The following is a 16,545-nucleotide window of genomic DNA, read 5'->3' on the forward strand; positions in this document are numbered from 1 at the left end:
CTAATTAATGAATATGCTCAAATGTGCAAAGAGGCCAGCCATGGTGGTTCATGCCTGTGATCCCTGCACTTTGGGAGGCTCAGGTGGGAGGATCACTTGAGGCTAGGAGTTCCAGACCACCCCTGGCAACATAGCAAGACCCTGTCTCTACAAAAAATACAAAAATTAGCTGGGTGCAGTTGGTGAGCACCTGTAGTCCCAGCTACTTGAGAGGCTAAGGCAGGAGAATCACTTGAGCTCAGGAGTTGGAGGCTGCAGTGAGCTGTGATTGCATCACCACACTCCAGCCTGGGCAACATAGCAAGACCCCATCTCTAAAAAAATTTTTTTCTAATCCCCAGAGAGTTTTACTTGTATGAGCAGTTGAAATAAATCCCCCCTCAACCCCACCAGAGCATACCCAGAATCCAAATAACATAATTAAACTTTGGTATGAGTAAAGACGAGATTATTAGGTTTCATGTAAGTGTACCACCTGGAAATTCTTGGGTGTTAAATAGAGATAGTGCTTCATTATTGCTGCTTATTGTCTGTTGACAGAGACTCTGAAATGAAGTCCCTAAGATCGGGTTGGAAGAATGAAAAAGTAGTGTACTGTTATTCGAAATGGACAAAAATAATTGTCCATTTGAATTGTAGTTTTGAGACAGTAAAATGAATAAAATTTATGAATAACCAACTAAAATTCTACCTATAGAAAATCCAGCCAGGTGCAGTGGTTCATGCCTGTAATCCCAGCACTTTGGGAGGCCAAGGCGGGTGGATCACTTGAGGCCAGGAGTTTGAGACCAGCCAGGCCAAGATGGCAAAACCCCGTGTCTACAAAAAATACAAAAATTAGCTGGGCATGGTGGTATACACCTGTAATCTCAGCTCTCAGGAAGCTGAGGCAAGAGATTGCTTGAACCTGGGAGGTGGAGGTTGCATGAGCTGAGATTGCACCACTGCACTGCAGTCTGGGCAACAGAGCGAGACTCTGACTCGAAAAAAGAAAAAAAAATGTTCTGGCTATTTATCCCTTTGTATACATCTAAGCATTTTCCCTAAGACAGTCAGACCTAATAGTCTTGACCTAATCCAGTGCTAATAGTCTTGTCTTTACTCACACCAGTTTTTAACTGTGGTGTTTGGATTTGGGGAATGCTCTTGGGGCGTTTAATTCCACCTATGAATACAAGTAAACCTCTTTGGGCACGAATTTGTTTTTGTAGAGATGGGGTCTTGCTATGTAAGACTTAATGACACAGTGTCCCCTGGTGGCTCCATATAACCCCTTTAGTCATTTTTCCTATTCAGGTGCCCTCCTGATTGACAGAAAAGAAATAAGAGAAATTAGGCTGGACATACGGCTCATGCCTGTAATCCCAGCACTTTCAGAGGCCGAGGAGGGAGGACTGGTTGAGACAAGGAGTTCAAAACCACCCTGGCCAACATAGTGAGACCCCCCCATCTCTATTTAAAAAAAAAAAGAGAGAGAGAGAGAAATCCATGCTCTTAACCTAGATTAGGGTGAGGTTGTCTTGGCAGCTCCAGTGGGTAATGGAGTTCTTGGTCCGTGAAAAACTCACAACTGTGATTTAAAAAGCGTTATCATCCACGTTGTTTCTTTGAGGTGTCTATGGTGGTCAGAAGCCCCATGGAACGACAGAATCACCCATTTAGAACTGTTGATGAGATAAAGAATCCTTAGCTGGGGACGGTCGGTGGAGTGAAAAGAAAATAGCAGAGCAGAATACCAGTGTACGGTGTGGCGGTGAAGGCAAACTGTGGATTGTTTTAAGAATCAAGGCTCAGCCAGGTGTGGTGGCTCACACCTGTAATCCCAGCACTTTGGGAGGCCTAGGTGGGCGGATCACCAGAGGTCAGGAGTTCGAGACCAGCCTGGCCAACATGGTGAAACCCCGTCTCTACTAAAAATACAAAACTTAGCTGAGTGTGGTGGTGCATGCCTGTAATCCCAGCTACTCAGGAGGCTGAGGCAGCAGAATCGCTTGAAACTGGGAGGCAGAGGTTGCAATGAGCTGCTGCACTCCAGCCTGGGCGACAGAGTGAGACTCTGTCTCAAAAAACAAACAAAAACAAAAAAAGTCACTATGCTGAGAGTGATACTGTTAAAAAAAAAAAAAAAAAGTTTGTGCCTGTCACCCTAAGTCATCTTGAGGCCCCCTGCTAGTATGTGCCCCATACTTTGAGGAACTGCATTTAACATGACCCTCTAGAAAACAGAGGCTGAAAAGCCACTAAGCTGGTTAGTGTGCCAGAAGCAATCTGGAAGAGCCCCAAGGCCTCTTGTGAGCTGGAGGGTTTAGTAAAAAGTGTGAGCTTTTACACAAGCTCTCCAGAAAATGCCTCAATTGTTCCCAGGAGTCCTCAACTCGCAGGGTTAGCCTGAGAGAAGAACTTTAATGTGCCACCTGGAAACCAGCCTGGTGAGAATTTCCTGGCTTAAGAGTGCCCAGCCCTAATGACAGCCCTGTAACAGAACCCCGGAGGCTCACCTCAAACCAAAGGCAAGGCTAGGTGTATTGGGCTTAGGTGAATCGCCTTAGAGCCAGGAAACCAGTGGCTGAGAAAGAGAAGGGGGAGGTGTCAGAGGATTGGGTGAGAGCAGGTGAGCCTCTCTGAGAGCTCGTTTTTCTCTCTCTCTCTCTCTCTCTCTCTTTTTTTTTTTTTTTTGATAGCTTGTTTCTCAAAGAAGAAGAAGATGGCCAGGTATGGTGGTGCATGCCTAATTGTGGCTTGGAATCCTTTGGAAGGCCTAGGCAGGTGGATCACCTGAGATCAGGAGTTCGAGACCAGCCTGGCCAACAAGGTGAAACCCTGTCTTCAGAAATACAAAATTAGCTGCACGTGGTGGTGGGCACCTGTAATCCCAGCTACTCAGGAGGCTGAGACAGGAGAATTGCTTGAACCCGGGAGGCAGGGGTTGCAGTGAGCCAAGATCGTGCCACCTCACTCCAGCCTGGGTGACAGAGTGAGACTGTCTCAAAATGAAAAGAAGAAAAAGGACTTGAAAATGGATCTGTGGTGGCTCACACCTGCAATCCCAGCACTTTGGGAGGCTGAAGTGGGAGGTTGGCTTGAGACCAGCAGTTCCAAACCAGCCTGGGCAATAGAGCGAGACCCTCCCCCACCATCTCTAATAAATAAACAATAAAAAGTAAGGCCGGGCGCAGTGGCTCATGCCTGTTATCCCAACACTTTGGGAGGCTGAGGTGGGAGGATGGCTTGAGCCCAAGAGTTCGAGATCAGCCTGAGCAACATAGTGAGACCCTCCCCCACCATCTCTATTAAATAAACAATAAAAAGTAAGGCCGGATGCGGTGGCTCACGCCTGTTATCGCAACACTTTGGGAGGCTGAGTGGGAGGATCGCTTGCGCCCAGGAGTTCGAGATCAGCCTAAATAACACAGTGAGACCTCACCTCTACCAAAAACACAAACGTTAGCCGGGTGTGGTGGTGCATGCCTGTAGTCCCAGCTACTCAGGAAGCTGAAGTGGGAGGATGGTTTGAGTCCAGGAGGCAGAGGTTGCAGTGAGCTGAGATCGTGCCACTGCACTCCAGCCTGGGCAACAGAGCTGGAGCTTGTCTCAAAATAAATAAATAATAAAGAGGAAATGGGTCCGTTTGTACTAACCTGGAATCGCAAGTCTCTCCTGAGCTTTACAGACCACTACAGACACGTATTCTGTTTTGTCTTGTACCTTTTGCTTTTAATTAAAAGCAAAGTGGTTTTCTAACACATGGCAGAAAACACACTGGTAAGAGTGACTGGCTGGGCACAGTGGCTCACACCTGTAATCCCAGCACTTTGGGAGGCAAAGGTGGGTGGATCACTTGAGGTCAGGAGTTTGAGACCAGCCTGGCCAACATGGTGAAACCCCATCTCTACTAAAAATACTAAAATTAGCCAGGCGTGGTGGTGTGCGCCTGTAATCCCAGCTACTTGGGAGGCTGAGGTGGGACAATAGCTTGAACTCGGAAGGCAGAGGTTGCGGTGAGCCAAGATTGAGCCACTGTACTCCAGCCTGGGTGACAGAGTGAGACTCTGTCTCAAAAAAAAAAAAAAAAAAAAAAAAAAAGAGTGATTTTATGCTGGCTAAAATCCCTTCCTATTAATTTCAGTGTCAGAAGATTTGCTGAGAAAAATCCTAGCTTGACAATGGCATTTATTTGTGACTCTAAAGAAACAACCAAAAACACCCTCCAAAACCTGATTTCCTTGTTTGCTCGACCATAACACCAGTGTGGCCCGCTCCAAGCTTGATGGGACCAGAAATCCTACAAAAAGCCTTTGGTCCCAGCTTGCTTGAGTGTCGTGCTGAGGAAAAAACACGCCCACACAACAGCAGATGTTGAGAAGCCTGTCTTTATTGGGTGATTTTTAGAGGCATTGCCTGTTGGGGGAAGGGGGGCTTACAGAAGTTGTCAGGGCATATACCCACCACCAAGAAAGTCATGAGTGACTCTCTCGTGACCTCGCTAAAACAATGAGCAAACTGCAGAAGGTTTTCAGGGAAAATTAACAAATTAGGTAGGGATGGGATGTGGGGTTCCCCATTCCCAGGGCTTTGGAATCCTTCCAGGTGATTATCCCTTTCTCTCTTTTCTCCAGAGACTGGGGCTTTTAAGAATGCACCATTTCCTGGAATTCTAGAACAGAAGAGGTGAGAACAGGGTCAGTGGAGGTGGCTTCGTTCTTTACAGACATGCCGTGGCCAGTGAGAATTCCAAAGAGGGAAGGAAGCAAAGAAAATTGTCAGATGATGGGCATGGCCCCCTTGGAGGGCACAAAAGAAAGAAAAACTGGCCGGGCACAGTGGCTCATGCCTGTAATCCCAGCACTTTGGGAGGCCGAAGCGGGTGGATCATGACATCATGAGATCGAAACCATCCTGGCCAAAATGGTGAAACCCTGTCTCTACTAAAAATACAAAACTTAGCCGGGCGTGGTGGCATGTGCCTGTAGTCCCAGCTACTTGGGAGGCTGAGGCGGGAGAATCACTTGAACCTGGGAGGCGGAGGTTGCAGTGAGCCGAAATCATGCCACTGCACTCTAGCCTGGGCGAGAGAGCCAGACTCCATCTCAAAAAAAAAAAAAAAAGAAAGAAAGAAAGAAAGAAAGAAAAAAACCCTGGGTATCAATGACTATATCTCAAGGAAGTCCACAGGGTTCCTTTTCTCTGAACAATCTTATTTAACAAACATCTTCAGCTTTGCAATAGAGGTCTTTGAATTAGAACTTGTCAAGCCCATCATTTCTCCCTGATAATGCATGAATTCACTGTAATTACCTGTGACCATCTGTGAACATTTAACTTTTTGTCTGCAGACAGGAAGGGGAGATTTTCTTTCTCTATTCTGTAGCTGGGTATTGCATTTTTAGGATATATTTGATAGGGTGGGACTTTGAACTGACTTTCCTCCATTGAACCAAACTCCAAAAGTTTCTGTTACTAAAAGAAGGATAATAGTAATAATAACAAGGTATGGATGTTACAGATTGATATAAAAAACTGGGGACTTGCTTTATATTTATTGGTAAGCTTTGTTTATTTGGAAATCCTTCATGGTTATGTTTATCTTTTTTTTTTCTTTTGAGATAGAGTTTCACTCTTGTTGCCCAGGCTGGAGTGCAATGGTGCCATCTTGGCTCACTGCAACCTCTGCCTCCCAGGTTCAAGTGATTCTCCTGCCTCAGCTTCCCGAGTAGTTGGGATTACAGGTGCCCACCACCATGCCCGGCTAATTTTTTATATTTTCAATAGAGATGGGGTTTACCATGTTGGTCAGTCTAGTCTTGAACTCCTGACTTCAGGGGATCTGCCCACCTTGGCCTCCAAAAGTGCTGGGATTATAGGCCTGAGCCACCACGCCCAGCCCGTGGTTATGTTTAAATAAGGCAATCCCCCCTTACCTAATCTGTTTTTATGAGCTATCTATCTGCATTAACTCCCATGTAGTAAGCGATAGTGGTATAATTTTGAACAGGTTTTTTTTTTAATAAGCATCTAACGTAGCAGTTTTAAATTTCAAATTAGCACCACCAGAAGGACCACCATACATTCTGCTGAGTTGGCAGACACAAAGTAGTTAAAAAGCATGCTAGCAACATGACAAAATCAAGTGAAAATAGTCCTACAGCTATGCTAGTGTATTCTAAAGCTCAAACCTAGGATTCTGCCTACGGAAGACTCAATAAATGAGGTTGGCTTATTTGTTCTCTGTTTAATATTATCCCCTTGGCGGGCTAATGTCCAATAAAATATATTTGTCTAAACCCTTGAAGATGAAGAGGCCTTCCTACGCATGCCAATGGACCCTGGTCTGAGGATGTAAATCTTTCCCTTATTCTGAGGGGTTCAAACCCCACTGGTAGAAATACCTCGCGCTATATGCAGGTGCATTATGGTTGGCAGGTACAAATAATTGGCCAGGTAGCTAGCTAGTCCCCTAGTCAGGTGAAGGATATTTTGCAGCTCATAGACAATGACCAGTGTGACCAGCTTCTATATACCTACCGAGAATTATGCCAGGGTTTTTACACACATCATTTGCATCCTTACTTTAGTCTCATTTTACAGATGAGAAGACTGAGGCTCGGTAAGGTTAAGAAAGGGAGATTTTAAGCCACATTGGTTTGATCTCACAGCCCAACCCCTCACGGATGCTTCCTGAGCTAGAGTGTTTTATGCTACGTACACGTGTGGACATACCCTCTGCTCCAATTTTCCCATCTCCATCATTATCCGCCGCAGCCATCAAGGACTTGGTTTCTGACTCGGTCAGTTCTCTGGCACCACTCTCAAACTTCTGGAGGAAAAACCTACAGGATAATAAAGATCCATGGGGATTTTCAAAAAGGTCGTGCATCCCTGTGTTTAGACTTTTGTTTTTCCTTTAAGCATATCATCTGTTTCCAGCACCTGCAATAATTAGCCAAGGTCTTAGCAAGCAAAGGTTTCCTTAAGCTGTAGAAACCAATGGTGGGCACTTCATTTTTAAGGTTTTGTTTGTTTGTTTGTTTATTTTTGAGATAGGGTCTTGCTCTGTCACCCAGGCTGGAATGCAGTGATACCATCATGGCTCACTGCAGCCTCAACTTCCTGGGCTCAATCAATCCTTCTGCCTCAACCTCCCGAGTAGCTGGGACTAAAGGTGCACCCCCCCATGCCCCACTAACATTTGTATTTTTTTTTTGTAGAGACAAGGTTTTGTCATGTTGCCCAGACTGGTCTTGAAATCCTGGGCTCACTCAAGCAATCCACCCACCTCAGCCTCCCAAAGGGCTGGGATTGTAGGTGTGAGCCACAGTGCCTGGCCCATTTTTAAGTTTTTAGTGGTTTTAATTTTTATTTATTTATTTATTTATTTGAGACAGAGTCTCTGTCACCCAGGCTGGAGTGCAGCTGCACGATCTGGGCTCACTGCAACCTCTGCCTCCTGATTTCAAGCAATTCTTGTGCTTCAGTCTTCTGAGTAGCTGGAATTACAGGCGTGAGCCACCGCGCTTAGCCAAGTTTTTAGTTTTTTAAAGTCCATTTGCCAAAGGAAATCCCTTACATGAAAGAATCTTTGCGGCTGGGCACGGTGGCTCACACCTGTAATCCCAGCACTTTGGGAGGCCAAGGCAGGAGGATCACTTGAAGTCAGGAGTTTGAGACCAGCCTGGCAACATGGTGAAACCCCATCTCTACTCTAAATATGAAAATTAGCTGGATGTGGTGGCAAGCACCTGTAATCCCAGCCACTTGGGAGACTGAGGCATGAGAATCACTTGAGTTTGGAAGGCGGAGGCTGCAGGGAGCTGAGATCACCCCACTGCACTCCAGCCTGGGTGACAGTGAGGCCCTGTCTCAAAAAAAAAAAAGAATCTTTGCACCTGTAGTCTTCACTGCCCATGTTGAGGGCTTTGCATGGGTAGATGTGCGGTCAACTGACTCATGTCCTTTGCTTTAATGATGCTTGGCCGAATGACCAACACCAAGGCTGGCCATTGAAGAAATACTGAGCAACCTGGCCCCCACTGCACCCCAGGCCCACCCAGCAGTGCCAGGTACCAGACAGCCTCAGGACAAAGCTTACTTAAGCTCTTCTTCATCCAGATACCCGCTCTGGTCGTTGTCTATGAACCGGAAAACATCCTTCACCTGACTGGCTGACATCTTGGAGAGGCCTGACGTCTGGAAGAATTTTTGGGGTTCAAAAGTGTCTGGGTCTGAAGAACAGAGAATGGGTTATTCTGACACTCATTGGATCACATTCTATGTTGGGGCCAAGGTACTGAAAACACAGATGATTAAAAACACTTCAACAATATCCCTGAGCTACGGGGATGCTCAACTGGTCTAAGATTTTGGGACAGCCAAGACTTGATGGCTCTGTGATGGCATCCCATGTCCCCTCCGCCCCGGTCTTCCCTCCTCCACTTGGTTTTGTCCATTTTCCTTTTCCCTCCTCCTCTCCTCTGTGCCTCCCCCTCCCCCTGGCCCACTTTACAGGCTGTGTGGCCGAGCCCCCAACATCCCTGGTCTAATTGGTAGGGGGAAATGCAATCACTGGATTTCAACAGGCTAAATGGCCTTTGGCGATTTCTTTCTTTCTTTTTTTTTTTTTTTTGAGACAGAGTCTCACTCTGTCGCCAGGCTGGAGTGCAGTGGCGTGATCTCGGCTCACTGCAACCTCTGCCTCCCAGGTTCAACTGATTCTCCTGCCTCAGCCTCCCGAGTAGCTGGGATTACAGGCATGCACCCCCATGCCCAGCTCATTTTTGTATTTTTAATAGAGACAGGGTTTTGTCAGGCTGGCCAGGTTGGTCTTGAACTCCTGACCTCAAGTGATGCACCGGCCTTGGCCTCCCAAAGTGCTGGGATTACAGGTGTGAGCACCACACCTGGCCCTTCAGTGATTTCTTGCTTTCATGTTTAGTAGGTTTCTTTTGTCTTACAGAAGTGTAATCGTGTGCTCAGATCCCAGATCTCTATAATTTTAGTTATCTAATAAATAGTAGTTTTCTTCTCTGATTCCATGAATTTTCCAGCCAAGCTCTTATTTACTTATTTATTTATTTATTTATTTATTTATTTAGAGACAGAGTCTCACTCTGTCGTCCAGGCTGGAGTGCAGTGTAGCGATCATAGCTCACCACAGCCTCAACCTCCTGGGCTTGAGTGATCCTCCTACCTTAGTTTCCAGAGTAGCTGGGACCACAGGCACATGCCACCATGCCCCGCTAGTTTTTATTTTTATTGTTATGTTGTAGAGATGGAGTCTTGTTATGTTGCCCAGGCTGGTCTCAAACTCCTGGGCTCAAACAGTCCTCTCACCTTGGCCTCCGAAAAGTGTTGGGATTACGGATGTGAGCCACCATGCCTGGTCTACATTTTTTTTTTTTTTGTAGACAGAGTCTACAAAAAAGGCCGGGTTCAAGCAATTCTCAGCCTCAGCCTCCCGAGTAGCTGGGATTACAGGTGCCCACCACCACGCCTGGCTAATTTTTTTGTATTTTTATTAGAGATGGGGTTTCACCATCTTGGCCAGGCTGGTCTCAAACTCCTGACCTCGTGATCCACCCACCTCAGCCTCCCAAAGTGCTAGGATTACAGGCGTGAGCCACTGCGTCTGGCCGCCTGGCCTACATTTTGATTTTGTGTTGCCTCGCTGGAGGGGCAAAGCTGTGAGGAAATCCCACCCCCGCCCCACGTCCCCTCTACCTTGGCATTCCTGGAGCGCTGCTGCAATGTCATCAGCACTGAGCACGTCCGTGATGCTCATTTTCTACCTACTCACACAGAATAAACGAGAGGCGATAAGCCACAAACAGGAACGTGCACATCCAGGGGAAACACATCTTCCCAGGCCCACTGAAACTGTATGTGTGTCTAGATTTTTTTTTTTTTTTTTTTTGAGATGGAGTCTCACTCTGTCACCCAGGCTGGAGTGCAGTGGCACAATCTTGGCTCACTGCAACCTCCACCTCCTGGGCTCAAGTGATTCTCCTGCCTCAGCCTTCCGAGTAGCTGGGATTACAGGTGCGCACTACCAGGCCTGGCTGATTTTTGTGTTTTTAGTAGAGATGGGGTTTTGCCATGTTTGCCAGCCTGGTCTCGAGCTCCTGACCTCATGTGATCTGCCTGCCTTGGCCTCACAAACTGCTGGGATTACAGGCATAAGCCACCAAGCCAGGCCTGTCTAGAATTTTTAAAATGTGATAAGCATGGTTTTGTATTAAGTGACGGGACAGAATATCCAAATTAAAACCAGATACCAAAAAGACCCCAGCCCTTTTTGTCTCAGAGCCTTCTTTTGAATATATGCCAAAAATGAAAAAAAAAAACATGACCCAAAGAAGGATTCAATTGTTTTCTTATAAAAATTATACTGACATAATCAGTCATTTGCATAGGCAGCCGTAAACCATGTTACAAATGCACTGGCATTTTCCTACAGCAGTCCGAGAGATGCACTGTTGCAAATTCCACGTGGGAAAGGATACAGTTTGGGCTGCTTGCAGACATTCTGTGGAAGAAGACATGCTACCTGTCCTGAAAGGTGGGAAGCAGATGGATGAAAAGCCCATCTCCCAGAGATTAAAATCCTTCCAGATGTCAGAGCCATGGGAAAACAGGAGTCTAAGCACCTGAGCCTAATATGAATGCATGCAGTGAAGAAGAGTCTGGGGTCTGATGGGTCCACCAGTTACTCACCGTTTTAGGTTTTCCCCCAGGAAGAATCAGGAAAAAGAGTTGAAGGAGCAAAACAACAGATGTGCTTTTGCTACCTTACTGACCTACCTTATATAGGCTAGAAAAAGTGATAGTTACAACCTCTTAGATTTCCTTTTCAAGGATCAAGTGGATGCAGCTCAAATGTCTTGTCCTACTCAGGAAACCTCTTTTTTTTTTCTATTTATGTCTCAAGGGAATGTGGGTGGGAATAGCCAATTGTAAAAACAACAACAACAACAACAACCTCAACAAACCTTAACTAAGGTTTCAATTCTGCAAACGAACCCTGTTGGCAAAGTGTGGAGAAGGTTCTAGAGCCTGGTAAGCTGGAGATGGTGGCCTGAACTAAGACAAACACATACAGGGTGCTCTGTAAGCTGAAAAGCTCCCCAGATGTTAGCAGGTACCGTTGGAGGCAGGCCTGTTTTCAGCTTTGGGAACTATGGATGTGTAAGGCTGACCTCAATCTGGAGTTGAAGACTCAAAGCCATTGTCACCAAGTGCACACACAGGACTCGTCCGGCACAGGAGACAGGGCTAAGTGACGTGATTTTCCTACAAAACTCTTGACTTTTACGTTTCCCAGCTATACCATAAATTGCACACACTCAAAAGGCAAAAAGGAGGAAATCAAACCAGCATCCCCAACCCCCAAAACTAACAAGTTCAGAAACAAATACTCTGAGGCTGAGGCCAGGACTAGACACCTCAAGATTTTGTTTCTGTTGTGACAGGGTCTTGCTCTGTTGCCCCGACTGGAGTGCAGTGGTACAATCTCAGCTCATTGCAGCCTTGACCTCCAGGCTCAAGCGATCCTCCCACCTCAGTCTCCCGAGTAGCTGGTACTACAGGCACACACCACCATGCCTGGCTAATTTTTTTAATATACATATTTTTTGGAGAGACAGGGTTTTGCCATGTTGCCTAGGCTGGTCTTGAACTCCTGGGCTCGAGTAATTCTCCCACCTCAGCCTCCCAAAGTGCTGGGATTACATGTGTGAACCACCACTCCTGGCCTTTTTTTTTTTTTTAATTTTCAGCAAACATTTATTGAGGCTTTATATGGCCAGCACTGTGCTAGACTCTTCTTTTTAATTATTGGGTAAAAACCACATTCCATAAAATATATAATCTCAACCATTTTTAAGTGTATGTATAGTACAATATTGTTAACTCTTGGTGCATTATTGAATGAGAGATCTCTGTAATTTATTCAGCTGGAAAAACAGAAACTCTGTATCCATTGAGCTGCCACAACTCCCCTGTTCCCCCACCTCCCAGCTCCTGGTAAGCATCATTGTACTTTCTGCTTCTAAGAGTTTGACTACTGGCCGGGCACAGTGGCTCATGCCTGTAATCCCAGCACTTTGGGAGGCCGAGGCAGGCAAATCACAAGGTCAGGAGTTCGAGACCAGCCTGACCAACATGGTGAAACCCCATCTCTACTAAAAATGCAAAAATTAGCTGGGCATGGTAGCCTGTAATCCCAGCTACTTGGGAGGCTGTGGCAGGAGAATCACTTGAATCTGGGAGGCAGAGGTTGCAGTGAGCTGAGATTGCGCCACTACACTATAACCTGGGTGACAGAACGAGACTCCACCTCAAAAAAAAAAAAGAGTTTGACTGCTTTATCTAGGGACATCATATAAGTGGAATCATATAGTATTTGTATTTTTCAGACTGGCTTATTTCACTGAGTATAATGTCCTCAAGGTTCATCTGTGTTGTGGCATGTGTCAGGATCTCCTTTTTTTTTTTTTTTTTTTTTTGAGACGGAGTCTTGCTCTGTCACCCAGGCTGGAGTGCAGAGGCATGATCTCAGCTCACTACAACCTCCGCCTCCCGGGTTCAAGAAATTCTCCTGCCTTAGCCTCCCGAGTAGCTAGGATTACAGGCACATGCTACCACACCCGGCTAATTTTTGTATTTTTAGTAGAGATGGGGGTTTCACCATGTTGGCCAGGCTGGTCTCAAACTCCTGACCTCAAGTGATCCACCTGCCTTGGCCTCCCAAAGTGCTGGGATTACAGGTGCGAGCCGCCGCACCTGGCCTAGGATCTCCTTTTTAAAAGCTGGAGTCATGTTTTTTGTTTGTTTGTTTTTCATTTTTATTTTTATTTGTTTTTGAGACAGAGTTTTGCTCTTCGGGCTGGAGTGCAGTAGTGTGATCTCGGCTCACTGCAGCCTTGACCTCCTGGGTTCAGGCAATCCTCCCAGCTCAGCCTCCCAGGAGGCTGGGACTACAGGCGCACACCACCACACCTGGCTAATTTTTTGTATTTTTTTTGGTAGAAACGGGGGCCTCACGATGTTGCCCAGGCTGGTCTCAAACTCCTGGACTCAAGCGATCCACCCTGCTCGGCTTCCCAAAGTGCTGAGATTACAGGCGTAAGCCACTGTGCCCAGCCTGAAGTTTTTAAAAAGTGCAAAAATAGATCCCATGTTGCAATGAGAAACATACAGTGGCTTAGAAGTAGACAGTTCAGGCCGGGTGCAGTGGCTGATGCCTGTAATCCCAGCACTTTGGGAGGCTGAGACAGGCAGATCACCTGAGGTCGGGAGTTCGAGACCAACCTGACCAACATGGAGAAACCCCGTCTCTACTAAAAATATAAAATTAGCTGGGCATGGTGGCACATGCCTGTAATCTTGGCTACTCGAGAGGCTGAGGCAGGAGAATCACTTGAACTGGGGAGGTGGAGGTTGTGGCAAGCCGAGATCATGCCATTGCACTCCAGCCTGGGCAACAAGAGCAAAACTCTACCTCAAAAAAAAAATAAATAAATAAGTAGACAATTCAGGATACCTAGAGCAAGACCTCAGACTCTTTCCTGGGTAAAACAGTGGGCATCTTCACTTTGCCCCAAATATATTCTCCTACCAGGATGGTATACCCCCTAGTGTCGTCAGTGAAGAGTTTCTCTCAGGGATACCTGCAGCCTCTCTTAAATGACCAAACCTCCAGCCGGCACCCTATCTCTTGTCCACATTTTATTCCCCAGTGCCTAGCCCAGGACTGACCTATATTTAGGCGCTCAGCAGTTATTTGATGAATGAATAAATAAAAATAGCAAAAAGAAGTTGAAAATACGATTCCCAACCAGCATCACCTTGCCCAGCCCCTTAAAGAAGTTTCTAAAGATTGGGTGTGGTGGCTCATGCCTGTAATCTCAGCACTTTGGGAAGCCAAGGTGGGAGGATTTCCTGAGCCCAGGAGTTCAAGACTAGCCTGGACAACATGACAAGGTCCTGTCTCTACAAAAAAATAATAATCATAAATCAGCCCCGGCCAGGTGCGATGGCTCACGCCTGTAATCCCAGCACTTTGGGAGGCCGAGGCAGGTGGATTACCTGAGGTCAGGAGTTCGAGACCAGCCTGGCCAACATGGTGAAACCCTGTCTCTACTAAAAATACAAAATTAGCCCGGCGTAGTGGTGCATGCCTGTAATCCCAGCTACTCCGGAGGCTGAGGCAGGAGGATCACTTAGAACCCGGGAGGCAGAGGTTGCAGTGAGCTGAGATCATGGCCACTGCTCTCCAGCCTGGGTAACAGAGCGAGACTCTGTCTCAGAAAAAAAATAAATCAGCTAGGCATGGTGGCGCATGCCTGCGGTGCCAGCTGCTCAGGAGGCTGAGGTGGGAAGATTGATTGAGGCTGGGAAGTACCGGCTGCTGCAAGTTACAATTGCACCACTGCACTCCAGCCTGGGTGACACAGTGAGGCCTTGTCTCAAAAAAAAAAAAAGTTTCTGAAAATAAGTCTTAAGAGTTTTGAATTAGGTTTCTGACATTAAGTTGCCATAGAAACTAGCTGAGTCCTTTCTTTTTCTTTGGGAGTGTTTACAATTGTCCATAGAGATAAAACATTTTTTAAAAATCTGCTCATTTAAATCAAAGTAGCATATGGGTTAAACCAAGATACTTTTTATGTTCATGCTATTTTTCTGAAAGAAAATAAAGATACCAGAGACAAGGCCAGGAGTGGTGGCTCATGCCTATAATCCCAACACTGTGGGAGGCCGAGATGGGAAGATTGCTTGGGCCCAGGAATTCGAGACCAGCCAGGGTGATGTAGTGAGACTCCCATCTCTATAGAAAAATATTGTATTTATTTAAATTTTAAAAAGATAACATATTCAGTGAACATGTTTTCTGAATCAAGGAGGCACTTAAGATGACAACTTGAATTCCATTATGTGCAATCTGAGCATCAAATATTGATTCAGGCCGGGCGCCGTGGCTCACACCTGTAATCCCAGCACTTTGGGAGGCTGAGGTGGGCAGATCACCTTAGGTCAGGAGTTCGAGACCAGTCTGGCCAATGTGGCGAAACGCTGTCTCTACTAAAAACACAAAAAAATTATCCGGGCATGGTAGTGGGTGTCTGTAATCCCAGCTACTTGGGAAGCTGGGGCAGGAGAATTGCTTGAACCCGGGAGGTGGAGGTTGCAGTGAGCCGAGATTGTGCCACTACATTCCAGCCTGGGTGACAGAGCAAGACTCCGTCTCAAAAAAAATATATATAGATAGATAGATAGATAGATAGATAGATAGATAGATAGATTCACACAAAGAGACAATATTGTATAATTCCACTAATACGAGGTACCTAGAATATTCAAACTGACAGAGACAGACAGAATGGTGGTTAGCAGGGCTGGGGGGAGGGGTAATGGGATTGAGTGTTTAATGGGGACAGAGTTTCAGATTGGGAAGATGAGAAAGTTCTGGAGATGGATGGTGGTGACAGTTGCACAATGTGAATATATTTAATGCCACTGAACTTCAAAAGGTTTAAGATGGGTCGGGTGAGGCGGTGCATGTCTGCAATCCCAGCACTTTGGAAGGACGAGGCGGGAGAATTGCTTGAAGCCAGGAGTTTGAGACCAGCCTGGGTTACAAAGCACTACCCCGACTCTACAAAAAATAAAAAAAATTAGCCAGACATGGTTGTGTGCATCTATGGTCCCAGCTACTCGGGAGGCTGAGGTGGGAGGATCACTTAGGCCCAGGAGTTTGAGGCTGCAGTGAGCTGTGATCACACAACTGCACTCCAGCCTGGTTAACAGAGTGAGACCCTGTCTCTCCAAAGAAAAAAAAAGAAAATTATTAAGATGGTAAATTTCATATTATGTATTTTATGTTGCATATCATGTTATGCATCTGACATATGTTGCATATGCATAATGATATGTTGTTTATCATATTTGCATATTTATGTAATGTAATGCTTATGTATATCATGTATATGTATATATTAACAATTTTTAAACGTTGATTCAGTAGTCTTCATTATTTTGGCCACCAATTCCTAATTGCTCCCAGGAAAGAACAGGAGGAAGATGTGGAAGTAGATCGTTTTTTTTTTTTTTTTTGAGACAGAGTCTCGCTCTGTCACCCAGGCTGGAATGTAGTGGCACGATCTCGGCTCACTGCAACCTCCATCTCCCAGGTTCAAGAGATTCTTCTGCCTCAGCCTCCCGAGTAGCTGGGATTACAAGTGCCTGCCACCATGCCCGGCTAATTTTTTAATTATTTTTAGTAGAGACGGGGTTTCGTCGTGTTGGTCAGGCTGGCCTCCAACTCCTGACCTCAAGTAATCCGCCCACCTCAGCCTCCCAAAGTGCTGTGATTACAGGCGTGAGCCACCGCGCCCAGCCTGGCTGCCCTTGTGGGGACAAAACTCTTGACTGCATGGGAGACCCTCCTTCCATCATGTATGATGGGCTAGTTGAGAGCACCGTGGACCCACTTCCATGTTCTCTCAACAGATGTCTTCCTAAATATCTCCTAACTTCTTCTTCTCTTCATGGACC

General features: G+C 46.1%; 1 protein-coding gene across 1 annotated transcript; it reads right to left on the reverse strand.

Annotated features, from left to right (window-relative positions):
- Positions 1-4,357: 4,357 nt before the first annotated feature.
- Positions 4,358-9,867, reverse strand: OCM2 (oncomodulin 2). Its single transcript, NM_006188.4, has 4 exons — positions 9,715-9,867; positions 8,087-8,219; positions 6,718-6,827; positions 4,358-4,654 (listed from the first exon to the last, which is right to left on the reverse strand). The coding sequence occupies exons 1-4, from the start codon at positions 9,773-9,775 to the stop codon at positions 4,629-4,631; spliced, it is 330 nt and encodes a 109-aa protein (NP_006179.2). The 5' UTR covers positions 9,776-9,867; the 3' UTR covers positions 4,358-4,628.
- Positions 9,868-16,545: the final 6,678 nt, after the last annotated feature.

The sequence above is a fragment of the Homo sapiens genome, chromosome 7, assembly GCF_000001405.40.
Source record: "Homo sapiens chromosome 7, GRCh38.p14 Primary Assembly".
Taxonomy (NCBI): Eukaryota; Metazoa; Chordata; class Mammalia; order Primates; family Hominidae; genus Homo; species Homo sapiens.

What these genes read in the sequence shown, in the direction of transcription:
- OCM2 (NM_006188.4), bottom strand. Translation starts at nt 9,775, where the DNA reads ATGAGCATCACGGACGTGCTCAGTGCTGATGACATTGCAGCAGCGCTC. An exon ending in AGCGCTCCAGGAATGCCAAG is followed by an intron (nt 8,220 to 9,714) that starts GTAGAGGGGACG and finishes TCTGTTCTTCAG; the next exon opens with ACCCAGACACTTTTGAACCC. An exon ending in TGGGAAAATTGGAGCAGAGG is followed by an intron (nt 4,655 to 6,717) that starts GTATGTCCACAC and finishes CTTCTGTTCTAG; the next exon opens with AATTCCAGGAAATGGTGCAT.